The 24,860-nt window shown below is 58.5% G+C and overlaps 1 protein-coding gene and 1 long non-coding RNA gene across 23 annotated transcripts in view, besides 1 other annotated feature; both read left to right on the top strand.

Annotated features, from left to right (window-relative positions):
• The window catches only part of LOC102724701 (uncharacterized), a 441,766-nt gene that overhangs the window by 201,913 nt on the left and 214,993 nt on the right, over positions 1–24,860 (top strand). The window lies entirely within an intron of this gene.
• Positions 1–24,860: part of a sequence alteration artifact (region identified as an assembly artifact by the Genome Reference Consortium. This region falsely duplicates sequence located at GRCh38 chr21:43035651-43187643) that runs on past both edges of the window.
• LOC102724560 (cystathionine beta-synthase like) lies at positions 198–23,950 on the top strand. Of its 21 annotated transcripts, XM_047440652.1 has the most exons (20): positions 198–401; positions 877–916; positions 1,372–1,806; positions 3,800–3,875; positions 4,940–5,156; positions 8,526–8,632; positions 10,764–10,898; positions 11,446–11,525; positions 11,620–11,754; positions 11,869–11,938; positions 13,150–13,241; positions 14,063–14,188; positions 14,746–14,830; positions 16,595–16,700; positions 17,838–17,915; positions 18,173–18,307; positions 18,888–18,996; positions 20,254–20,338; positions 21,042–21,083; positions 23,158–23,950. In XM_047440652.1, exons 5-20 carry the CDS (start codon positions 4,948–4,950, stop codon positions 23,259–23,261), a joined length of 1,698 nt encoding a protein of 565 aa, XP_047296608.1. In that variant the 5' UTR covers positions 198–401; positions 877–916; positions 1,372–1,806; positions 3,800–3,875; positions 4,940–4,947; the 3' UTR covers positions 23,262–23,950. The 21 variants fall into 21 exon arrangements, 20 of the variants coding, with proteins under 20 accessions (XP_047296608.1, NP_001340936.1, XP_047296607.1 ...); NM_001354007.1 differs by lacking the exons at positions 1,372–1,806; positions 21,042–21,083 and having other exon boundaries at positions 23,158–23,279; positions 23,494–23,950; XM_047440651.1 differs by lacking the exon at positions 1,372–1,806.

Raw genomic sequence — 24,860 nt, 5'->3', positions numbered from 1 at the left:
TCCACGTCTCTCTTCTTATAAAGACTGGACAGGATTTTTTTTTTTTTTTTTTTTTTTCTGGAGACAGTCTCGCTCAGTCGCACAGGCTGGAGGACAGTGGCGCGATCCCGGCCTCCAATGCCACCTTCCAGAGCCTTCATGATGTAACTCCATCCCTGTCCCCTCCCCACATCGCCGGCTTTATTGTTCTTCGTGTCAGTTCCTGCCAGTGGACATTTAATTCTAATTCACGTCTCACTCCCTCCCCTACTGTGAGCCCCACGTGGCAGAGACCGCGGCGGAGCTGCGCGGGCCGGAGGAGGCTGCGGAACATCGCTCTGACCTGAGCCGGGGACGCTGCGGAGGCGCAGCACGTTCCTCTGCCCAGAGCTGATGGGCACCGTCCGTGTCTTTCGCTGCAGGTCCGGGGGGAGACTCGGGGGCCTGGGATCCCCCATTTAGCCATAGGGCGGGGGGATCAGGTTCAGCCTCTGAAAGTCCAGAGCACGATGTTTGGGAAACGGCCCCGCCCGCGGCCTCCGGGACCTGGCGAAGGAGCCCCGCGGGGCGCCCCTGCTACCACCCTGCGCGGAGTCGGCCCCGTCCCCGAGAGCGCCCGGCAGCCCCTGGCCGTGGGCCGCACCGGAGCCGCGCAAGGCGACTGTTCTGCGCCTCGGCTCGGGGTTCGGACCCGGCTCTGGGCGCGGTCACGCGGGGCGCTGCGCACGGCGTCCGGCGGCCACAGAGCGCGGCCATCGAGTCCCGCCCCGGCGCGGCGCCCCCTCCCGGGCCCGCGACACACGCCCTCGGGGTCGGTCCTCGAGGACGCGCAGGGCCCCCCACCCACCAGGACGCACGTTTCAAGCTCATCAGTAAAGGTTCCTTAAATTCCCGAAGGGCAAGAAGTTAACCAAGTAAAACAGCATCGGAACACCAGGTAGAAGACACCACCGGGGTCCGCGGGTGGGGGTGGCTGGAACCCGGGGCGGGCGGGCTCAGGCGAAGAGGAAGGCGGGGGAGGGGGCGGCGACCCGGGTCTGCGGTTGAATCAACAGGGCGTGGGAATGGGGCGGGCGGACTGGGGTGGGGGCATGCCGGGGTCCCGGGGAGGGCGGGGGTCGGGCAGGCCGGAGGGTCCCAGGCTGCGGCGGGGTGGGGAAGGGGTGGGGGGGAGGGGCCCGGGCTGGGTGGGGTGGAGGAGGGGCTGGGCGGGCGGGTGCTCTGCCACGAGACATTGGCCGGCGCCGGCCTCCGCCCCCGCCTCTCCGCCAATCACCGCCCGCCTGCTCCCCTCGCCGTGGGTCCCCGCGAGGCCGCCACCCCGGGGTCGCCGTCTCCGCCTCGCCGCAGTCGGGGCAGCCGCTCGCCCCTCTTTTCCATGTATCCGTCCAGGTGAGATCCGGCCCCACCGAGACTCGCTCCCCTCTCTGGACAGAGGATCTCAACTGGGTCCCGGTTTCCCTCTCCGCGCCTCCGCCCAGAGTTGCATCATCTGCACCGAAAGGCGGCGAGACAGGGTCTCCCAAGACCCCCGCCCCACCGGCGCCCACGCCTGCGGTCTTGACCGCCCAGAAGATGGGGGCTGGCCGTGCACGTGGCCCCGGGCTCCCACCCCAGCCCCCGCGCCGGCGGAGTGGACCCCACTGGCGGCGAGTCCTGGAGCGTGGAGCAGGGACGCGGGGTGGGAATCCGGGGGAGATGCACGTTTCGGTGCCCAGCATTGAGTTCGCTGCATTGTGGATGGGAAATGGCTGTTTGCAAATCGCCCTTTTTGGCGGACCGTGTGGGGTGGCGGTAAACGCTGTCGTTGCGCGGGCGGCACGCGAGGTGGGTGCCCGCTGGGGGAGGGACGCGGGGCTCTGCCCAGGTTGCGTTCGGGGGATGGAGGTTTTCCTGGGACCTCACTTCCCTGAGCCCCAGGCGAGACCGCAGCTGAGCTGTAGGATGCAAGCGGGAGGCGGAGCGTGGGTGGGAGAGCGGAGCGCGAAATTCTCGGCTTCCCGAGGATCTTCTGGGCTTACTTGTCCCCAGCTTTGTCCCAAAGTGTCGCTTCCGGAGGCGGAGTGGCCGGCGGTTTCCGGGTCTCAGTAGGGTCTGGATCTCCCACCTGGAAACCTAGAGGAGTTTCCCGCTCTCCGTGCGCGTGGCCTTCCCCAGGCCCCTCCGGGAGTGCTGGCGCGCGAGTGCAGGGGTGCCCCGGGAACGTCGTGACCCCAAGGGGGTCTTGTGGTTTAAGGAGCGAACGGAACCGGCCAGGCGATGCCAGCTGAACCCGCCTTCCCGGGACGCACGTGCATCCGGCCGCCCGGCGCTGTTGTCTTGGGGAGCCCGCGGGTTCGGGTCTGGGTCGCCTGGCGAGCTTTCCGCCGAGCGCCTCTGAGTTCTACAGAGCCCCGACGGCTTGCGATCTGCGTTCCCGGCAGTCCCTTACCTTGCGAGAGAGGGCTCCAGGGCGAGGCGAGGGGCCAAAAGCAAGGCGCTGGGCCGCCTGCGTCTGCCGGGGCCTCGGGTCCACGGCTTTCTGGAAGATTCGGCGGCGGAGCATGCGCGCCCCAGGCCAGACAGGGCCTGTGCCAGACGGAGAGTCCCTTCCCGTAGGTGACTCCCGCGACCCGCGGAGGAAGGTGCTGCTCCGCTCACGGCGGCGGCTTCTTACAAGGTTGGGATAGAAAGAAAAGCGTGGGACACGAACCTCTGAAAGCGGGTGCATTTTTCTGGGGAAGAGAAGATCCAACGCCTTCGGATTTTCAGACAAGTCCGTGGTCCCAAGACCTTGAAAGCACCACCCTCCAGGGTCGTTTGAAGCCGCTTTGGCCCCCAGTCTGGTGAATTGCAAAGGTGGAGGGGAGGCTGGGAAGTCCAGGAGGCCAAGCTGAGGCCTGGGTAGGGCCTGTGCGCAGAGACCACCTGAACAGCATACTCCAAGGGCTTCCAAAGGCAGCCGGCTTCCGCAACTTTTTCTTTTTTAATAGGCTTTTTAAAAAAAAAGCAGTTTTAGGCCGGGCGGGGTGGCTCACTCCTATAATCCCAGCACTTTGAGAGGCTAGGCGGGCGAATCACCTGAGGTCAGGAGTTCGAGACCAGCCTGGCCAACATGGTGAAACTTCGTCTCTACTAAAAATACAAAAATTAGCCGGATGTGGTGGCGGGCGTCTGTAATCCTACTCAGGAGGCTGAGACAGGAGAACTGCTTGAACCCGGGAGGTGGAGGTTGCAGTGAGCCGAGATCGCACCACTGCTCCAGCCTGGGCAACAAGAGGGAGACTCCGTCTCGAAAATTTAAAAAAGAGCAGTTTTAGATTTAGAAAAATTGAAAAAATAGATAGAGTTCCCCCAGTTTCCCCTGTTATTAAGATCTTAAACTGATGTCGTATATTTGTTACTTTATTTATTTTCTTTTATTTTTATTTTTATTTTTATTTTTTGAGACGGAGTCTCGCTCTGTTGCCAGGCTGGAGTGCAGTGGCGCGATCTCGGCTCACTGACCTCCCCCTCCCGGGTTCAAGCGATTCTCCTGCCTCAGCTTCCCGAGTAGCTGGGACTACAGGTGTGCGCCACCATGCTTGGCTAATTTTTGTAGTTTTAGTAGAAACGGGGTTTCACCATGTTGGCCAGGATGGTCTCGATCTCTTGACCTCATGATCCGCCCGCCTCGGCCTCCCAAAGTGCTGGGATTACAGGCGTGAGCCACCGCGCCCGGCCTATTTGTTACAATTAATGAGCCAATTCCACGATCACATAACCATTGTTGACATTAACCAAAGTCCGCGCTTGAGTCAGATTTGCAGAGTTTTCTCCTCACTGCCCTTTTCTATTCCAGGATCCCATGACAGATTCTGTTGTCACGTCTCCTTACAGAGTTTGAGCGGTGCTGAACTGTCAGCACCATCTGTCCGGTGAGTGACGGCTGTGGACTTAGTCTTCCTGTTGAATGTGGGGAATCAAAGGAGGGTGAAGCGGGGCTGAGCCCAGTCCTGGGCCCTCTGAAGAAGGCAAGGTGGGAGGTGGTCGTGGGTTCCTTGTCCCCCCAGAGGAGGGGCAGCAGATGGGACCTCGCCTGGCTTTCTTTTTGCTTTCTTCTTTTTTTTTTCTGTCTCATCTATTTCAGGTGCGTGTGTGTGTTTTTAATCCTGGGTAAAATACACGTAACACTGATCACTGTAACCATTTCTAAGTGTGAGGCAACCACCGTGACTATCTCCACCCAGAACGTTTTCATCATCCCCAGCACAACCTCTGCACCCATTAAACAATCACCCTCCCTTCCCCACTCACCTCAGCCGCTGGCCGCTTCTATTCTACTTTCTATCTCTATGAATTTGCCAGACATAGAGGGGCGTTCGAGAGTCCCAGGTGCCTCATCGTGGAAGTGGAATCACACAGTATTTGTCCTTTTGTGTCTGGCTCATTTCGCTTGGCATAATGTCCTGAAGGTTCGTCCGTGTTGTAGCGTGTGCCAGAATTCATTTCTCTTAGGGCTGAGTAATATTCTAGTGTGTGTATGAGCCTACTGTGTGTGTTCATCCGTCTGCGGATACGTGGGCTGCCTCCACGTTTTGACTTGTGAATAGTGCAGCAGTGAGCATGGGTGTGCAAGCATCTGTTTTGTTGTTGTTGTTTTATTTTTTAAATAGAGATGGGGCTGGAGCCCAGGCTGGTCTTGACCTCGTGGACTCAAGTGGTCCTCCTGCCTCAGCCTCCCGAAGTGCTGGGATGAGAGGCGTGAGCCACCGCACCCGGCCCAAGCAACTGTCTGCTTCCATTTTTTTTGGTATATGCCTATAGGAGAGAAATGGCCAAGCGGCTGCCCACAGGGCTGGTGCCTGTGTTTTTGTGCAGTTCTTCCTGGGCTTCTCTGAGGGAGCAGAGCACGCCTCCCAGAGGGGGCCGGGTCAGCAGGGTTCGCTGGAACCCCACAGCATCCGAGCCTGAACCGACGCCTCTCTCCTTGCTTTGCCAGGTCCCAGCATGCCTTCTGAGACCCCCCAGGCAGAAGTGGGGCCCACAGGCTGCCCCCACCGCTCAGGGCCACACTCGGCGAAGGGGAGCCTGGAGAAGGGGTCCCCAGAGGATAAGGAAGCCAAGGAGCCCCTGTGGATCCGGCCCGATGCTCCGAGCAGGTGCACCTGGCAGCTGGGCCGGCCTGCCTCCGAGTCCCCACATCACCACACTGCCCCGTAAGTCCTGCTTTTGATCACAAGAGGGCTGATCCATAACCTGGAGGGCAGGAGTTTGTTACCTGGACACCACACAGCCAGGAGGACATGAGGTGTAACCCCCTGTAGTCACTCTGGATTGAGGAGCTGGGGGTGGGGCCATGCCGTGTAGATGAGGCTCTGAGAGGCCAAGGCCTCCTTACGCTGCAGCCCAGCGCCTAGGCCAGTGCCTGGCAAGACAGTGGATGCTCAGCAAGTAGTTCCAGAATAAATAAATAAATGTGCCCAGGTCACATGCTTTGCCCGGTCTGTGGCTGCGTGTGCACATTCACTGGAGGTGAGGGACCAGGATCCTGCCTGCGCTCTCTTATTTATTTATTTTTTATTTTTTTGAGACACGAGCTGGAGTGCAGTGGTGCAATCATGGCTTACTGCAGCCTCAATCTCCCCCAGTTAAGGGATCCTCCCACCTCAGCCTCCCAAGTAGCTGGGACTATGGGTGCCCACCATCACACCCAGCTGATTTTTGTATTTTTAGGAGATGGGGTTTCACCCAGGCTGGTCTTGAATGCCTAGGTTCAAGTGATCCGCCTGCCTTGGCCTCCCACAAGTGTTGGGATTACAGGTGTGAGCCACCGCGCCCGGCCCAGCCTGCACTTTTCCGTTAACTCTAGGTCATGAAGACTTCCCGTAGGCATTACATATTTTTCCATAAGGGCTGTTTTTCTGGTGGCACAGACTGTTCGGTGAAGAAGCCATCATTTTGTAAGCCCTCTACGGGGTAGATAGATGTTTGCAGTTACCTCATTTTACATAACTGCAATAGAAGATACGACACATTCATTTAGCCAACAAGTCTTTCCTCAGCGCCATGTGCATTTCGTGCCCTGCTCAAGGCGCAGAAGATCTATCAGTGGAAAAGACAAATCAACAAAAATCCCTACCCCAGCATGAAACTGAAATCAAGCTCACTAAGCCTTAGGATTATCTTTATTTCCTTAGTGTAATCTTGGAGGAGAACAAATAGATCAAAGAATGTGCTTCTTAGATGTTTGATTCCTTTTTTTTTTTTTTTTTTTTTTGAGACAGAGTCTCGCTGTCACCCAGGCTGGAGTGCAGTGGCGCGATCTCAGCTCACTGCAACTTCTGCCTCCCGGGAAGCGATTCTCCTACCTCAGCCTCCCTAGTAGCTGGGATTACAGGCATGTGCCAGCACGCCCGGTGGATTTTTATGCTTTTAATAGAGATGGGGTTTCACCATGTTGTCCAGGCTGGTCTTGAACTCCTGACCTCAGTTGATCCACTCGCCTCGGCCTCCCAAAGTGCTGGGATTATGATTCCTATTTTGTGTCCACCACTACCAGCGTTTATGGTTGTTGATTTACAGTTCAGAATGGGTGGGGGTGGCTGGGTGTACTCTCAGTGCAGCAATAGAAAGAAAGAAGTGACAGTGGACAAACCCAGAAGGTCTGAGTGTCAAACATACTCAGTGCTGGGAGCTCAGGAGGCCAAGCAGATGTGTGGGCAGCCAGGAGGATGGGCTCTTGCTGCCAAGACAAACCCAAGAGAGCAGTGGGTGAGAGGCCCGGTGAGGTCGGGAGTGGCTGCTGGAGGGTGGAGTGGGCAGGGAAGACAGGCCCGATTCCTGAGGGCTCCGTGAGCTCCTAACTCTAGGGCATGAGAAGGAGACGATGCCCTCCAGGTTGTAAATGGCGTTGCACCTGCACCTCACATACTGGCCTCATTCATCCTCCGAAGACACCCCCATCCTGAGACGCAGAGCCGACGCCGCTTGTCTCCAGTCGGAGGGCCCCTGAGAATAGTGGCGTTGCGGGGAGGTGCTGCAGAGGTGGGTCAGGAGTTGGAGGTTCATTCTAGGACAGTGGCGTGTCCTCCCAGGAGACTCTTGGGCTGTGGAAGTGGGAGTCCTTGAGATAAGGGGCTCCAGGGCTATCCCTGCAAGTCACATCCTTTTTCTTGCTAAGCGCTCTGGGCCTGGCCCTGATCACCTCTGCAAACTTCTCAGGTAACTTCACAGCCACCGAGGCCCAGTGCTGAGTCAGCACACCTGCTGCAGGGAGGCGGGACTCTTCCCGCCTGGCTGGCCAGATGCCCGAACTGAATTAATGAACTAATCCCCGGCGCTGTCACCCTGGGGCTTGGCTTTCCACCTGGCCCTGGCTCTCTACACCTGCCAAGCCTGGTTCCCTTCTGCCGAGAACTGCTTCTGAGGGAACCTCCCTGGCCCCTGTACAGTTTGGGGACCTGGCAGGACTGCCTTCTGCTCCCCGGGAAGGGTGCGATTGGATTCCAGCTGCTCTTGTTGGCGCCTGTTTTGGCCTTCAGGGTAGCTCTCCCTGCAAATGTGGCACTCCCTCCATGGCACAGGACCTCTGGGAGCTGGGTTCACCCCAGGTCTAAGGGTCGCCTCCTGGGGGGCAGGACCCAAGGACCCTGGCTGTTCAGCAGGTGACTGTGCTGAAGAGGGGGCCCAGGGTTAGCCACGGGGTGTCATCGGAGCTGCAAGGCCCAGGGAGGGGTTGCGGGTCTGGAGACCGCTGTAAGCCATGCGTGTTCCCAGATGAGTATGTGGTGAGCTTGGTGCAGATAGATAGGGGGTGTCATCAGCATCTCCCTGGGGGAGGATGGCAGGGGCATGAGGGCCATTTAGGAAACCACCTGGACCAGGGTTTGAGGGTTTACACAGCCAGATGCTGCAGGGCAGGGCATCACGAGCCTGGCCGACAGCGCCTCTGCCGGGGCTCTGAGTCTGCCACGTGCCTGACATTTTCTGTGCAGGGCTAGACATCCCGCCTGCGCTTTGCAGCCATTGTCCCTGGTCTAAGGAGTCTCTGCCCTGACACTTTTTTGCTTCCTATGGTCACATGCTGAGAGATGAAAGGAAATGTCATCTCCAGTAAAGCCTTTCTGAAAAGGTGGACCTAAACCTTTGTTTTGGAGTCAGTATTTGCTTATTTTAACTTTTTTATTTGGAAATAATTTACTACTCACAATAAGTGGCAAAAATAATAGATCCTTTGTACCCTTCTCCCAGCTTCCCACTAACAACATCTGCCACGACTGTAGGTTCATTTTCAAACCTGGGAAGCTGGCATTGGTGCAAATAAACCACAGGCATGATTTGCTTTTTATAGATTTGTATGTCTAAGCATGTGTGTGTATGTGTGTTTCAGGCGTGTGTGTGGGATGTGTGTTAGGTGTATCTGTGTACAGATTTGTGTAACCACCACCCAGATAAAGCCAGTTCTTTTTTTTTTTTTTTTTTTTTTTCCAGTTCTTCGAGTGTTGATTTGTGTAAGACAATGTCTGCCAGGGCTGGTACTATTTTTTTTTTTTTTTCCTGAATAATTGTGGACTCCTCTGTTTCAGGGCAAAATCTCCAAAAATCTTGCCAGATATTCTGAAGAAAATCGGGGACACCCCTATGGTCAGAATCAACAAGATTGGGAAGAAGTTCGGCCTGAAGTGTGAGCTCTGTGAGTGCCCTGGCTTTGGAGAGGGGCTTCCTCCATCTACACTGGGCTCCGTGGGCCTGGGGGGTCCTGGGGGGTCCTGGGATGGATCCCTTAGGCAAGGCCCTGGGATCAGAAAACTCGCTGGTTAATGAGTGGCCAAGAACATATCAGCTTAAGTTTGGGAAAAACACACAACAGGGCATTGTGTCAGAGGGTGACCAAAGTGACTCCCCAGCAGATGGACAAGGGAACGAACAGGTGACCTTTGAACTGAGGCCGGAGTGGAAGCAGCGAGGGTGTGAAGGGCCGGGTGAGGGTCAAAGGCAGAAGCAAGCAGGTGGGGAGGGTTAGCGTCATGCCTGCTAAGGAGCAGTGGACGGGTCCTAGCACGTGCTGTGAGCCACCCGCTGTCCAGGGAGCGGTTACCTCTGTCTTGCCAGCTTCGTGGGGACAGATAGTTCAGCTCATCATTTATGAGACAGAGAATGGGAATTTGGAGGGTCTGTGGCTGGCCTCGTCCTGGGTGCGCAGGGGGTCACCTGAGGTGTGGTCTGAGGCCTCCGGGGAAGGGCATTTCTTTGCAGGACGCAGTTTCCAGGCTCAAGAGCGTGGAGGGAATTCCTAAGGGTCGCTCTTCACCAAGAGCGCAGAGCCCTGGTAGACCTCAGCATCGTCACAGAGAAAGCTGTGGGTGCAGAGGCCTTGGGGACAAGGCGGGGACGGAATTTCGTATTTCAGATGACCAAGGTCAAGTGAGTTCGGAGGGAGGCAGGAAGGGTGCCGCGGAGAACCCCGCGACAGGGCCAGATGGAGGGGGTGGAGTTCGAGTGGGAAGGAGAGGGAACCAGTAACATGGCTTGGGACTTTTTCATCCTGAGATGCTCTAATGTCCCAGCCGGGGGACCTGTGAGAGCTGGGGCAGGCGCTGGGGGAAGGAAGTCAGGGGTCGGTGCGTTGGGAACCGATCGCCGATTCACAGGAGGGGCCTCGTGGGAGCCTGGCCCTCCTCTGCCCCCCTCTAGGGAAGGAGATCTCGGAGCTGCAGCAGAGCAGCCCCCTTCACAGAGACCCCCAAGGCAGCAGGGCCGGCTCTGTGCTCATTTGTCAGACAATAGGGACCCTTAACTCGTACGCAGCACGCGTGGCTGGCTCACTGTGCTCCGTACAGGATGACGTCTAAACTTGGCGGTTGCCCTTGAAGTAGGTTTTGGAATGCCCGTTTTACAGACAGACACACCGAGGGTCAGGTTGGTCACGTGGCTTGCCGGAGGCCACCAGCTCTGATTTCTGCTTCGGAGCTGGCCCCCAGGCGCTAGTGAGAATGATCTAACTGAGGGTTTCACAGTATGGGACCCAGAGGGGTCCGAGAATGCAGGCCTGTAGAGGGCCAGACCCCGAGAGTCCTCCCCACCACACACAGCGCCTCGTCCTGGTTCTAGGGGCAACACCTGTCTGGTGGTTGCTTTCAGAAATTTTGAGGTGCTGCAGGCTGGTCCCAGGTCCCTCAAATCACATTTCATGCAGCCCATTCTCTCGCTCTTAAAAACTAAATATTTTTAAGAGCTGGAGAGGGAGAGAGGACTTGCAGTAAGGAAGGAAGTGCAAGTGAAGGCCTTGGCCTTGTGCGGGAACTGCGCAGGGAGCCCTTCCCCGGGCAGGTGACGCCCCACAGGGGAAGGAGGACAATGGGAGGCTGTAGGGAGAGTATGCGAGTCCCCATCCGATGGGGAAGCCAGTGCTGTGGCTTCAGGACATCAAGCTGCTTTGGCAGGGGCCGCTGGGTATGGCTGGGCATAGGGGCGTAGGGGACCCAAATCCAGGCGCCTGCCCGCCACAAGCCCAGCTCGTGGGTGGGGGGACGGGGTTTTCTGCGGCGCCCCCCAGTGAGGGCTGCTTATGCCTCTCTGGTTCCCACAGAGTTGCTCAGCGCCCTGCAGGACCGGTAGGATGGGCTGCAGGGGGAGAAGCTCTGATAGGCTAGTGCCCAGGTGCAGGTGTAGGGGAGGTGAGTGGAGAGGTGGCAATTTTTCAGAACCCACAGACCCCCAAGCCCGTCCCCCACCCTGGGGTGTATCAGGTAATGGGGGGGTGAGCAGGAATCAATGGGGGGGTGGTCAGGGGGTCCCCTCTGTGATTCATCTCTGCCTCCCAGTGGCCAAGTGTGAGTTCTTCAACGCGGGCGGGAGCGTGAAGGACCGCATCAGCCTGCGGATGATTGAGGATGCTGAGCGCGACGGGACGCTGAAGCCCGGGGACACGATTATCGAGCCGACATCCGGGAACACCGGTGGGTGCCAGGCCCAGAGGGGGTGGCCGGGGCTGGCTGTCCCCTACCCATGCCGAGCCTGCCGGGACCCGGGGGGGATGGATGAGCTGCAGCCGCATGTGCTGGCCCGCCTGGCCGCCTGCTCCCTGGCATCTTGCACCCGCTGCCGGCCTGTGTCCCAACCTAGCTTCCTTTGACCAGCATTCGGGGCCAGTGCCGATGCTCTCGGGGCGATGGCACCTGGCAGTGCCTGGCACACAAGACGAGCACCCGGAGTCTGCTCTTCCTGTGCCTGTGTACCCGGCTGGGCCTGGAGGAACCAGATCTCCTGTCCTGCGCCGCTGCCTCCTCCTCCTTGACGTGTACCTTTTATTTCTGCCTCTGGCAGCCTCTCTCCCCCTGCACTTGAAGGCAGAAGCAGCCATGTTGGGCAATTTTGGAATCCCACAGAACCCTCTTCCCTGGGCCCTAAGGGAACCGGCATCGGGGTGTGCCCCTGTGTCCCAGGCAGGGGCGGGGCAGGGCTTGGGGGGTCACTGGGCCCCTCTCACCCTCTGTGTGCCCTCAGGGATCGGGCTGGCCCTGGCTGCGGCAGTGAGGGGCTATCGCTGCATCATCGTGATGCCAGAGAAGATGAGCTCCGAGAAGGTGGGTGGGCGTGGCCAGGGGCGGGGTCATAGGGCAGGGGATGAGGGTGCCTGGGCCAGGCGGAAGGTGCAGGCCACCGCTTTCCCTCCTGCAGGTGGACGTGCTGCGGGCACTGGGGGCTGAGATTGTGAGGACGCCCACCAATGCCAGGTTCGACTCCCCGGAGTCACACGTGGGGGTGGCCTGGCGGCTGAAGAACGAAATCCCCAATTCTCACATCCTAGACCAGGTGAGGCACCTGGGGCCTGGAGACAGGCATTCCCTAGGAGGGTCTCGGTCAGGGATGTGGGGGTGACTGAGGTGTCAGGGGTCAGCTCACGGGCTCTGCTCTCTTTCTATGCAGTACCGCAACGCCAGCAACCCCCTGGCTCACTATGACACCACCGCTGATGAGATCCTGCAGCAGTGTGATGGTGCGTCCCTCTGTCCATCTTGATTGCATTTATCCCTGGCTGCCTGGGAGTGTACACATCTCTTGCCCTCTCCTTGGTGAACTCCTATTCACCCTTCAGAACCCAGCTCAAATGTTCCCTCTGTGAAATGCTTTTCTAGAGCATTTCTCTAGAACAATTTCCTCCCTCCGTTGTGCCCTCTTGGCCTCCGCCTGTGGTTTACCTGTAATAGCAAACACAGGGCATGGCTGTATTTGTTTACCCAGCAATCTCTGCAGGTCTGCAGGGGCTCCTCCTGCAGATAATGCAGACAGCGAGTCTGTTCAGGGCCCAGGCTGGTGCTGGGCTCACAGCTTGGACTTCATTTGGGATCATGCCCTGACTCGGCATCAAATTCATCTGCAGAACAGAGCTGGTGACATCTGCGATGAGCTCACTCTCTGTTACAAGCATGAGGCCGGCTCCTTGGGCCCTTTTCCAGGGACTCGGTGCCAAGGCCTGTGGGGGTTGGTACTGAGGTTTTCCCAAGAGATCCCTTTAGAGATAAGTTGCCAAGAGGTTGGCGCCCTGGCTTCCTATTGGGAATCCGGTGTTGGCATGGGCTGGAGTACACCCTCAGTCCGTGCCCAGGAGCCGGGCTGTAAGGTCCAGGCATTTGGTTGTTTGGGCTTTATGTGTGAGAACTCTCTCATTTGGCAAAAACAGTCCTGTCTCAGCATGGGTGCCCAAGCTGCTCCGTCTCGCTGAGTCTTTCCCTGCTGTGACTTCTCCACCAGATGCCCGCGCTGGCGGCCAGCAGTGTGAGCGCCCAGCGAGTTTCTGCGCTGAAGCCTAAAAGACTGATTCCATTTCCTGTGTAAATTCAGTTAACTCACTCACACCACGCAAACATCCAACAGCCCACGGAGGTGGTTAATTCACAGCCTCCCTCTGCCCGCCCTCAGCGCCTGCACCCCCCGGACAGGGTCCTGTCTTTCTGCATCCAGCCAAATGGGGGTTTTAGGGGTCGAGTGTCACTGAGCAAAGACTGGGCTGGGGTGCCCCAGGCTGCCTGTTTCTGAGGCTTTCACAGACCAAGGGCAGCAACGAGGGCTGCTCCAACTGGAGAAGAAGTTTTTCTTTTGAACTTTTTGGTTACCCACCGTGGTTTGGGCTGAGTGTGTTTTCAATGATTATTACTATGAGTGATGGGCTGGCCAGGCAGGGACCCAAGAATGTTATCCGTCCACCAGGGAAGCTGGACATGCTGGTGGCTTCAGTGGGCACGGGCGGCACCATCACGGGCATTGCCAGGAAGCTGAAGGAGAAGTGTCCTGGATGCAGGGTGAGTGGTGTGGCCGGGCCGGAGAGGGGCAGTGCGGAGTGGCCCCGGCTTCTGAGCTGAAAGCTGTCATTCCTCACGGTCTGCTCAGCACGCTGTCTCCCGCGGTATTTCTGCGCTGCCTGGGAGGTGTTTGGGAAGACAAGGGTGCTTGACACATAAGGGACCAGCAGCTCGTGACCCGAAGGAGCTGGGGCTGGGTGCTCGCTCACCGGCCAGTGTCTTGGAGAACCTTCCTGCACTGAGTGGGGGGTCGGAGTTCCAACTGGGGGCCTCTGAGGATCAGCCAGGAGCTCTAAGTCCTCTGGTCCTGAGTCTGCCCCTCAACTGGGGCTTGTGGGAGTTGGGAGAGGGTTCCTGGACTCGGGGTTAAGAGCAGGTCTGAGGACGGGTGCCTAGAAAGGTCCCGCTGATGAGACAAGGGCGTTCTCTCCCTGTTGCTTGCCCTTGAAAAAGACGTCACTGCCCAGCAATGCCCTTTGTCCCCAAAGGCTCTGCTGCTCCGCCGCAGGGTGGTCTGTCTGGACTGTCCTGGGGGCCCCGCTCCGAGAAGCACCCCGGGGAGGTCAGTTCCTCCCAGGCACCTGCCTTTACTTCTGAGCGCCCTGCACTGAACATTTAGGTCATTACCGCTTTAATACTTGGAGCCTGGGTTCTTGGGTTTCTCATCCTGCCTCTGAGGCTGGGAACAGGCCACCACCCACAGGCAGATCATTAACAGGCAGTTGTTAACGGCGGTATTGGCCACTCCCATAATAGAATATCGAGGCATGTCCAGGCGGGGCTTTTGCTGGCCTTGAGCCCTGAAGCCGCGCCCTCTGCAGATCATTGGGGTGGATCCCGAAGGGTCCATCCTCGCAGAGCCGGAGGAGCTGAACCAGACGGAGCAGACAACCTACGAGGTGGAAGGGATCGGCTACGACTTCATCCCCACGGTGCTGGACAGGACGGTAGGTCGAGTCCAGAGCCCGGCCACAGTGCCGGTGCAGCCTGTAACTCACCCTCACACTGGGGAGCCTGGCTGACCCTGGGCCCCAACCAGCTTCTCCACTGAAACAGAAGGGCAAGCCCCGCACGCATGGTGAGAAGCTGGTCTCGAAGGTCGAGACAAAGTAGACTGGGGGACGATGTCCGCACACGTGGCCTGACCTCACCAAGGGATGTAGCCCAGGTGGCACAGGCAGGGAGCAGGGAAAACGTGTGAAAATTAAGGCCCCGGAAAAGTCTGTTAAGAGCCAAAAAGCTGACTTTGGCCTGAGGGAGAGCAGAGACCGAAGGGCCGGTGTGGGTCACACGGATGCTCAGTGGGGCTGGCGGGCAGTTTTGCTGTCTGCAAAACGTGTTGGAACTGGAAAGTCTGCAGACGTGCCGATCCCAGGGGGAGAGGCTGGGGTGAGACCTCTGGGGTCCTACCGCCTAGACACGGGGTCCACCATGAGGCTGTTCACCCTCTTGGTCACGTGGGAGCGGCTCCCACGCTGACGGGCTGTGGTGGGGTCCTGCTCAGGTGGTGGACAAGTGGTTCAAGAGCAACGATGAGGAGGCGTTCACCTTTGCCCGCATGCTGATCGCGCAAGAGGGGCTGCTGTGCGGTGAGTGGGTGGCGGGCACGGGGGTATGGGGAAGGCAGAGATGGCTAGGGGGCACTGGGGATGGCTGGGGGCGCACCCTCAGTCAGCCACCGACCTGCATGTGTAAGACAGCAGTTCTGAGGAGTGTCACTGCGGCGGCCACGAGCCTCAGGTGTTGTCTGCCTGCCCAGTGTGGTCACCTGCTCAGGTGAGGGCAGGAGGCCATGGGGCGGGGCTTCGAGCTGCCTTCCAGAATGTGTTTCTAGAACAAGGCTGAAGCTCTCATGGCACTTATTGTTTCTAATCAAGTCCACCAGGGCCCCTGGGGCGGTGGCTCTGCATTGACGGGGCCCATGGCCGGGACTGGGTGCTGCGAGCACCCTGGAGCAGCTGGGGAGGGGACTGGAGCCTGAGGCTGTCCAGCTCGACCCCGCTCACCTTCCTCCTACCCCGTGCCCCTCTGCCCACCTGCTTGGGGGTGGACAGACCAGGTGGCCGCTGGCAATGCCACTGACTAGCCACACAGGCAGCAGAGGCCCTGTAGGGACCATAGTTGATCTAGACCTCTGGGGACTCGGAGAGCACACACCAGCTTCTAAAACGCAGGCAGGGACATGTGAGGTTTCTACATGTGCATTCCGTGTGTCATGTCACTTTGGGGGTGGTGACAGGGAAAGTGGAAGGAAACCAGCCCTCAGCATGGCCAAGTCCCCCGTTAGCTGAGCCCCAAACTAGAGATTGGAAGAAAGTCTTGATTGAAAAACCATTTCCCAGCCAGGCGCGTTGGCTCATGCCTATAATCCCAGCACTTTGGGAGGTCGAGGCGGGTGGATCACCTGAGGTCAGGAGTTCAAGACCAGCCTGGCCAACAGGGAGAAACCCCGTCTCTACTAAAAATACCAAAAAAAAAAAAAAAAGTAGCCGATGTAATGGTGCATGCCTGTAATCCCAGCTACTCGGGAGGCTGAGGCAAGAGAATTGCTTGAACCTGGGAGGTGGAGGTTGCAGTGAGCCGAGATCACGCCATTGCACTCCAGCCTGGGTGATAAGAGCAAAAACTCCATCTCAAAAAAAAAAAAAAGAAAAGAAAAGCATTTTCCAGATGAATCTGTCACGAAAGGTGACTTGGTGCCCATAATCGTTGGGCTCTCCCTGTCTCAGTCTCCCTGCTCCCCATGTTGGTGGAGAAACAAGCCCCTGCCTTTGGGGCTGGAAAGCAGGTCCATGGGCCCCGTTACAGAGGAGGGTGCCTCTCTTCCTGTGGGGGCTCCTACTGCAGACTTAGACCTTCCCGACTGCTGTGTGCACCCTCAAACTAAGCCCAGAGAAGACGCCTCTGACTCTGACTTCAGGGCTCCTAGGGACAGCTGGTGTCACTGTGAGCCTTGGTCTCTTGTTTATAAAGCAGAGCCCAGTGTGCAGTCAGGCAGCCTGCAGGCGTGGTGCTGGGGGCTCCGTCCTCGTAGCATCGCTGGCTCTAGGCTCAGGGCCAGGAGGTTTGCCAGGGGCCGCAGCCCCACTGCAGGCATTTCCCTGGCACCAGTGCCCACCCCAGCTCATTATGAAGCCCCGAGTGGACACAGAAACTCCATGGTGCACAAGGAAGAAGCCGATGCTCACGGAGAAGTGGGGTCCTCCCAGCCCCTCTCCCCGAGGCAACCCCTCTTGACGGATCCTTCGGAGTGTGTCTGACATGCTCCCATGCGTGCACGTGCACAATTCATGCATACGTGTGCACCCACGCACGCTCACCCTGGCGCGTCTGACTCGTGGCCCTCTCTGCAGGTGGCAGTGCTGGCAGCACGGTGGCGGTGGCCGTGAAGGCCGCGCAGGAGCTGCAGGAGGGCCAGCGCTGCGTGGTCATTCTGCCCGACTCAGTGCGGAACTACATGTAAGACACGGCTTCCCTCCCAGGTCCCTGCTCCTCTCCATCCTGCCACCCTTCCCTGGATGCCTCTCACGCCTCACCTGAGAACCGGCAGCCAGAACTGGGAGGGGAGGAGGCCAGCGGGGCCCTGTGAGCACCGCCTCCACTCTCCTGCCCACGTGCCCTCACGCTGTGGGGCTTCCCAGCCTCTTAATGCTGTGAAAATCAATGCACACTCGCAGTGACAGCCCTGACAGGAGGGGCATGAAAGACGGTGGCTCCCTCTCTGTCCCTCCTGTCCCTTCCTCTCTGGTGTCTGTCCCCCTCACTGCTCTGGGGTCCGTGAGCTCCAACGGGTAGCCCTGGCCACATGGACTGACGTCCTCTTGGGCCGGGCCCTGTGCCACCTCCTATCCACCCTGACTCCCTCTGCTGCTTCCCCCAAACTCCAGATTGGGAACGAGTGCTGCCCAGGTGGCCCCCTAGGACTTGCTGTGACTGTTTTGCCCAGAGGCCCCTCGGACAGTAACGCCACAGACCTCGCTGGTCACCGGGCAGCCAGGCTGAGACTGGCGCTGCTCTGCACCTGGTCTCCGGAGGCGGTACCAGGGCGGGTGTCTACAGACCCCCATGCCCTGTCCCCTGCACCTGCAGGGTTTCCTCCATGGCCTGCAAGCTGCAGCGGCTACACAGCTCCCGAGAGCTCAGCTGCCCTTGGAGGGCCAGGCCTGGCTGGTGGGTGCCCCCAGTTGGGTTCCCCAGTGTGGGGTGATTCACATCTGGTGCCCAGGGTCAAGATGCCCTGTGCAGGGCTCCTGCCCACCCCCGTCAGTGCAAGAACACCATCTCCCCACATACTTGGCCAGCCTGCCATGTGTACCTGTGCGTGTGAGTGTGTGAGGGGCAGAGAGCGAGCATGAGAGGACGTGTTTATCTGAGTGCCTGAGCGATGGCTGTGTGCATGCTCACACACGCTTGTTGGCCATGGGGGCGGGAAGTCCAGCCCCCAGGCTTCCCCCTGGGGCTTCCAGCCAGCACTTGGGGGTCTCTGCTGCACCAGTGAGGTCCAGGAGAGGGGCTGGGCAGGCAGTGCGTGCCACTCAGCAGGGGCGGGGGCCCGGTGGGGCCCTGCGGGGACTCGGTGACTCCCCCATCCCGCAGGACCAAGTTCCTGAGCGACAGGTGGATGCTGCAGAAGGGCTTTCTGAAGGAGGAGGACCTCACGGAGAAGAAGCCCTGGTAAGACCGCTCGGCCGGAGACCCGCTGCCTGTGCTGGCCCTGCCCAGTGTGACAGGCAGGAGAGCACTCCCCCGTGGCCTGTGCTGGCCCTGCCCAGTGTGACAGGCAGGAGAGCGGTCCCCGTGGCCTGTGCTGGCCCTGCCCAGTGTGACAGGCAGGAGAGCGGTCCCTGTGGCCTCCTGCTGAGGTGCTGCCGGCGGGGGTGCGAGAGCGTTTGTCCTTATCCTGATCCCCCCGACCTGCCCTCTTCCCTCAGGTGGTGGCACCTCCGTGTTCAGGAGCTGGGCCTGTCAGCCCCGCTGACCGTGCTCCCGACCATCACCTGTGGGCACACCATCGAGATCCTCCGGGAGAAGGGCTTCGACCAGGCGCCCGTGGTGGATGAGGCGGGGTCAGTCTCAGCCCCTGCTCAGAGCTCAGTCCTGGGTTCTGTCTGCCCAGCTCCACCCCGTCAGTGTCACTGGACAGGGCAGCCATGCAGACCCTGCAGCTGGGCTGATAGGCCCGCCTGGGCCGCCTCATACAGACGTTCAGGGCATTGGAGGCCCCTTGCCGGTCCCTGAGCAGCCTGGGGCAGGGCTGCCGTGCTCACTCCAGGCCCTCAGACCTCAGCCCACCCACCCTTTGTGTGCAGGCTGTCCTGGGCCCACCTGGAGGTCAGGGGAGAGATGCCCCGAGGACATGTCTGACAGCAGAAAGCCTTGGCACACATGCCCAGTGACCACTGAGAGCCCCACGTCGCGGAAACCTGACGGCTGGTCACCCTTGACCCTGGCTGAACGGGTCCAAGGACTCTTGGTTTCTTTCTCCCCACCAGGGCCCAGACTGGTTCCTGCCGCGTGTAGGCTCGTGGCAGAGGACTTCCATGTGTGGCCAGAGAGCGCTCCTCCCTGGGGCAGCTGAGCGTGTGCCCCACCGTCCTGGGAGGGGTGAGGTATGAGCGCTGACCCCTGCCTGCCCCCGTCCCACAGGGTAATCCTGGGAATGGTGACGCTTGGGAACATGCTCTCGTCCCTGCTTGCCGGGAAGGTGCAGCCGTCAGACCAAGTTGGCAAAGTCATCTACAAGCAGTTCAAACAGGTACCCAGTCACCTACAGGCAGCTCAAACAGATGCGCAGTCACCTACAGGCAGCTCAAACAGGTGCCCGGTCACCTACACGCAGCTCAAACAGGTGCGCGGTCACCTACAGGCAGCTCAAACAGGTGAGCGGTCACCTACAGGCAGCTCAAACAGGTACCCGGTCACCTACAGGCAGCTCAAACAGGTGCGCGGTCAGCTACAGGCAGCTCAAGCGGGTGCGCGGTCACCTACAGGCAGCTCAAACGGGTGCCCAGTCACCTACAGGCAGCTCAAACGGGTGCCCGGTCACCTACAGGCAGCTCAAACGGGTGCCCGGTCACCTACAGGCAGCTCAAACGGGTGCGCGGTCACCTACAGGCAGCTCAAACGGGTGCCCAGTCACCTACAGGCAGCTCAAACAGGTGCGCGGTCACCTACAGGCAGCTCAAACAGGTGCCCGGTCAGCTACAGGCAGCTCAAACAGGTGCGCGGTCACCTACACGCAGTTCAAACAGGTGCGCAGTCACCTACACGCGGCTCAAACAGGTACTCAGGCACTTCGGGACCCCAGAGGGTGCCAGAGTACTCCAGCCTCGAAGGCGGGACACCGCGCTTCCCGTGTGGGGGTGCTGGGTCCTCGACCCTCAACACCACTTAGGCCGAAGCTGGCTGCACCCCTCAAACCATGAAGCTGAGAAGCACCCACTTTACAAGTGCAGCAGCCGGAGAGGAGGCTCTCATCAGTGCAGGCTCATCCACACCAGCCGTGTTTTGGGGACTTAAGGAGGTCATTCGCGCTCAGAGGCTGTCCCGGGCACCATGCGGCGTCTGCTGGGGTCTTTCTCCTGCCCAGCCTCATTTGCCTGTGCATGCACTTGGTTATCCAACAAGAGCTAGAACATTCTGGGAGAAGCCCACGGTGGCTCCTTGCCGGGCTGGTCAGACTCCGTGGTTGTCCTGAGACACCCACCCTCTGCTGCCCTGAGGGTGGCCCAGGAAAGTTTGTGTGACCTTCCACACGGATCCCCTGGGACATGCAGGTGTGGCTCTTGACACTGGAAAGGCTGAGGGTTCTGCCCAAACCTAGGAGTGAATTCGACTTCTTTCCCATCTCACACACACACCCGAGACGTCACCCGAATCCACGTATTTCCCACGTTCGGCTGCCACTGCCTCCCGGGTGGGCTTTGCAGGACCCACCATCGCATCCCCTCTCACTCCACAGAAAACTCGTGGGGCCATGTTCCCCCTGCCACTGACCACGCTTCCCTTGCAGATCCGCCTCACGGACACGCTGGGCAGGCTCTCGCACATCCTGGAGATGGACCACTTCGCCCTGGTGGTGCACGAGCAGATCCAGTGTGAGTGGGGCCCTGCTCTGTGCGTGGGGTTCTCACTGGGGTCAGGCCACCAAGCCTGGCCTCTGCCATGGGCAGCAGCTGGGCCCCCCATCCCCTGCGGGGTGTTAGGGGAGTGGGTGGTGCCGACCTTCAGTGACACCCAGTCTTTATGCCCGGGCCTCCCACATGCCCTGGGCTGGTGGGCTGTACCTGTGATTCCTGCAGGGACCCCTCATCAGGCCACACTGGGTAGGGCCCTTTGTCCAGCATGCAGAGGCTCAGGAGTCCAGGCCCCTTGCCTCCGGGGAGGCCAGCAGTCTTGGGGATTCTCAGGGACAAGCCCAGAAACATCTAGAAGGGTTTCAAGTCCTGACCCTGGCATTCGGAGGGCTGCTCTGAATGGAAGCCTCATGTGGGTCTCACAGGAGCCACTGATGGGCTGTCCTCAGAGCCCCGCTCCCAGCAAGCTCATGAGGTTTTGCAACTCCTGAGCGCATCCCCGGGCGTCCCCACCACATCCCCACAGGCCAGGAGAGTCGCTCGCAGGTTTTGGGTCATAGATGGCAGCCCTGGGCCTGGGGCCCACAGGAAGAGTTGGGAGGGGCCCTGGAGCCTGGAGCCTGCCCACCCACCAGGCCTGTGTGCAGGGGGTGAGCGCTCGGTGGCTGAGGCTGGTCCGTGAGGGCCCCAAGTCTAACCCCATCTCCCGTCCTTGGCTCTGCAGCGCAGGACCAGGCCTGGGCAGGCGTGGTGGGGGGGCCTGCAGGTAGGTATCACCCACCCCTCAGAATGGCTCTCAGGCTCAGATTCACAGCCTCCCCATGGCAAATGGAGGCCTTCCAGGGTCCTGGACCCACCCCCAAGCTTGGGTAGGAGGGATCCCCCTCTTAATCTCACATTTACTTGTGTTTGAACATCTCAGAAAAAAAAAAAGATGCAAATTCCAATGTCAGGGTCCCCAAATCAAGTCTTCCTGGAGCATGTCCACGCTTGTCACCACCGTCTGTGGCTGCTTTCAAGCACGTCAGGGCTGCGTGCTCATAACAGAGACGGCACAGCCCCCAAGACCTAAAATACCACCAGCTGGCCCTTGTCGGAAAGTCCCCTGGCTGGCCCTAGTCCATTGACTCTGGGCCGAGCTGCCAGGGCCACAGAAGCCTGCGGCACTCAGGGCTCCCAGGGCTCCCTTCTCCAACAGTTGCTGTGCCTCCGTTTCCCCAAAATGCAAGGAGCTGATCTCATCTGTGTTCCCTATCTTTTCCTGGGGCTCTAAGTGGGCCACCCCAAGGGACCTCTGCCTACAAAGAGAGGAGTGACAGCCGTGGCGGAGTTGGGACGGGCTCCGAGGGCTCTTCCTCACCCGCACCTTGCTCACCCCTCTGTGCCTCATGACAGCTGGTGTAGGGTCCTGTGGAGACGCAGGACCAAGAGGATGTGTGGGGAGCGGGGAGAGAGAGGGAACGAGATCTGTGTTAAGGAACTGGATCATGAGATCACGGAGGCTGACAAACCCTGAGATCTGCAGGGTGAGGCGGCAGGCCGGAGACTGGAGAGCCAGCAGTTCAAGCCCCAAGGCAGGAAATTCCACCTTTGGTTCTATTCAGGCCTTCAACTGCTTGGGTGAGGCCCTCCACAGTAGCACACGTTATCTGCCTCTTGACTCTTGTGCTAATCCGGAATCCCCTCACACATGCCCAGAACGACGTGTGACCAATGCCTGGGCTCCCACGGCCCCGTTAATCTGTATTAAAATTAACCATCACAACAGCCCTGTCTGGGTATGTGGCATGGGAGCCTCGGCCAGCATTAACACCGGGTCTACGCTTGCCAGGAGAAAGCAGGAGGGGTGAAGACAGAATCAGGCCAGAGATGGAAGCTGTGTGCTGCCCATGGTGGCAAGGGGTTTTTGTCTGTTTTTAGAGACAGGGTCTTGCTCTGTTGCCGACTGGAGTGCAGTAGTGCCATCATAGCTCGCTGCAGCCTCGACCTGCTGTGCTCAACTGATCCTTCTGCCTCAGTCTCCCAAGTAGCTGGGACCACAAGCGTGTGCCACCATGCTCGACTAATTTATTTTTAAAAATATTCTGTAGAGACAGGGTCTCAATATGTTGCCCAGGCTGGTCCCAGACTTCCGGGCTTAAATGATCCTCCCACCTTGGCCTCCCACAGCGCTGGGATCACAGGTGTGAGCCACTGTGCCCGGCCCTGTAAGCGGGTTTGAATTTCATGCCCACACCGGCTCTGAAGTCATGAGTGCCTCAGGAGCTCAGCCGGTGGGCCAGGGAAGGGTGTGTCCTGACCTGCGGTGGGTGGAGCCTGGCCTGGGGCCCAGGGGACTCACGTGGTGGGTAGAACCTGGCCTGGGGGCTCATGGGGCTCATGTCAGAAGAACACTGGCTTGGCCAGGCACAGTGGCTCACGCCTGTAATCCCAGCACTTTGGGAGCCGAGGCAAGTGGATCACTTGAGGTCAGGAGTTCAAGGCCAGCCTGGCCAACATGGCAAAACCCCATCTCTACTAAAAATACAAAAATTAGCTGGGTGTGGTGATGTGCACCTGAAGTCCCAGATACTCGGGAGTCTGAGGCACGAGAATCACTTGAACCCAGGAGGTGGAGGTTGCAGTGAGCCAAGACTGCACCACTGCACTCCAGCCTAGGGGACAGAGTGAGGCCCTGTCTCAGAAAAAAAAAAAGGAACACAGCCTTCGCCGCTGGGCTCCAGCCACCCTGGGCCCCCATGGTGCACAGGTGCCCCAGGCCCTCAGGAGCCTCCTGCCCCGCAGCAGCCCACCCAGCCTCCCACGGCACCTGCAAACCCACTGCCTCGTTCTCCCCTCAGACCACAGCACCGGGAAGTCCAGTCAGCGGCAGATGGTGTTCGGGGTGGTCACCGCCATTGACTTGCTGAACTTCGTGGCCGCCCAGGAGCGGGACCAGAAGTGAAGTCCGGAGCGCTGGGCGGTGCGGAGCGGGCCCGCCACCCTTGCCCACTTCTCCTTCGCTTTCCTGAGCCCTAAACACACGCGTGATTGGTAACTGCCTGGCCTGGCACCGTTATCCCTGCACACGGCACAGAGCATCCGTCTCCCCTCGTTAACACATGGCTTCCTAAATGGCCCTGTTTACGGCCTATGAGATGAAATATGTGATTTTCTCTAATGTAACTTCCTCTTAGGATGTTTCACCAAGGAAATATTGAGAGAGAAGTCGGCCAGGTAGGATGAACACAGGCAATGACTGCGCAGAGTGGATTAAAGGCAAAAGAGAGAAGAGTCCAGGAAGGGGCGGGGAGAAGCCTGGGTGGCTCAGCATCCTCCACGGGCTGCGCCGTCTGCTCGGGGCTGAGCTGGCGGGAGCAGTTTGCGTGTTTGGGTTTTTTAATTGAGATGAAATTCAAATAACCTAAAAATCAATCACTTGAAAGTGAACAATCAGCGGCATTTAGTACATCCAGAAAGTTGTGTAGGCACCACCTCTGTCACGTTCTGGAACATTCTGTCATCACCCCGTGAAGCAATCATTTCCCCTCCCGTCTTCCTCCTCCCCTGGCAACTGCTGATCGACTTTGTGTCTCTGTTGTCTAAAATAGGTTTTCCCTGTTCTGGACATTTCATATAAATGGAATCACACAATTGTGGCCTCGTGTCTAACTTATTTCACTTTGCATGGTATTTTCAGGCATGTCAGAGCACGTGTACTTGGTTTCTTTTTGTGGCCGAATAATAAGCCATTGTGTGGATAGACCACATTTTGGTTCCTCATTTATCGGTGATGGACACCTGGTTGTTTCTGCTTTTCAGCCCTTGTGAGTAACCTGCTGTGCACCTTCATGGCCGAGTATGTCTGGACACCTCTTTTCACTTTTCTTGGGTGTGTACCCAGGAGTGGCATTGCTGGTTAATGTGGTAACTCCATGTTTAATTTTTTTTTTTTTTTTTTTTTGAGATGGAGTCTTGCTCTGTTGCCAGGCTGGAGTACAATGGCACAATCTCGGCTCACTGCAACCTCCACCTCCTGGGTTCAAGCGATTCTCCTGCCTCAGCCTCCCGAGTAGCCAGGATTACAAGTGTGCACCACTGTGCCTGGCTAATTTTTGTATTTTTGTAGAGACAGGGTTTTACCATGTTGGCCAGGCTGGTCTTGAACTCCTGACCTCAGGTGATCCACCTGCCTCAGCCTCCCAAAGTGCTGGGATGACAGGCGTGAGCCACTGCGCCCGGCGTCCATGTTTATTTTTTGAGGAACCATCAAGCTGTGTTCCATACTGGTCACACCGATTTCCATTCTCACCAACAGTGCCCGAGGGTTCCAGTTTCTCCAGGTCCTTATCAACACTTGCTATTTTCTTGTTTTAAATTATTATAGCCATGCTAGTGTGTATGAAGAGGTGTCTCATTATGGTTTTGATTTGCCTTTCTGTAATCATTGGTGATGTTGAGTGACCATCTTTTCATATGCCTGTTGGTTATTTTTTGGGAGAATCCATCTCCTGTTTTTAAATTGGGTTGTCTTTTTGTTGAGTTGTAGGAGCTCTTTATATGT

This window comes from Homo sapiens, chromosome 21 (assembly GCF_000001405.40).
Source record: "Homo sapiens chromosome 21, GRCh38.p14 Primary Assembly".
Classification (NCBI taxonomy): domain Eukaryota; kingdom Metazoa; phylum Chordata; class Mammalia; order Primates; family Hominidae; genus Homo; species Homo sapiens.
Note: the sequence above shows the minus strand (reverse complement) of the source record. Positions and strands in the feature narration are given on the sequence as shown.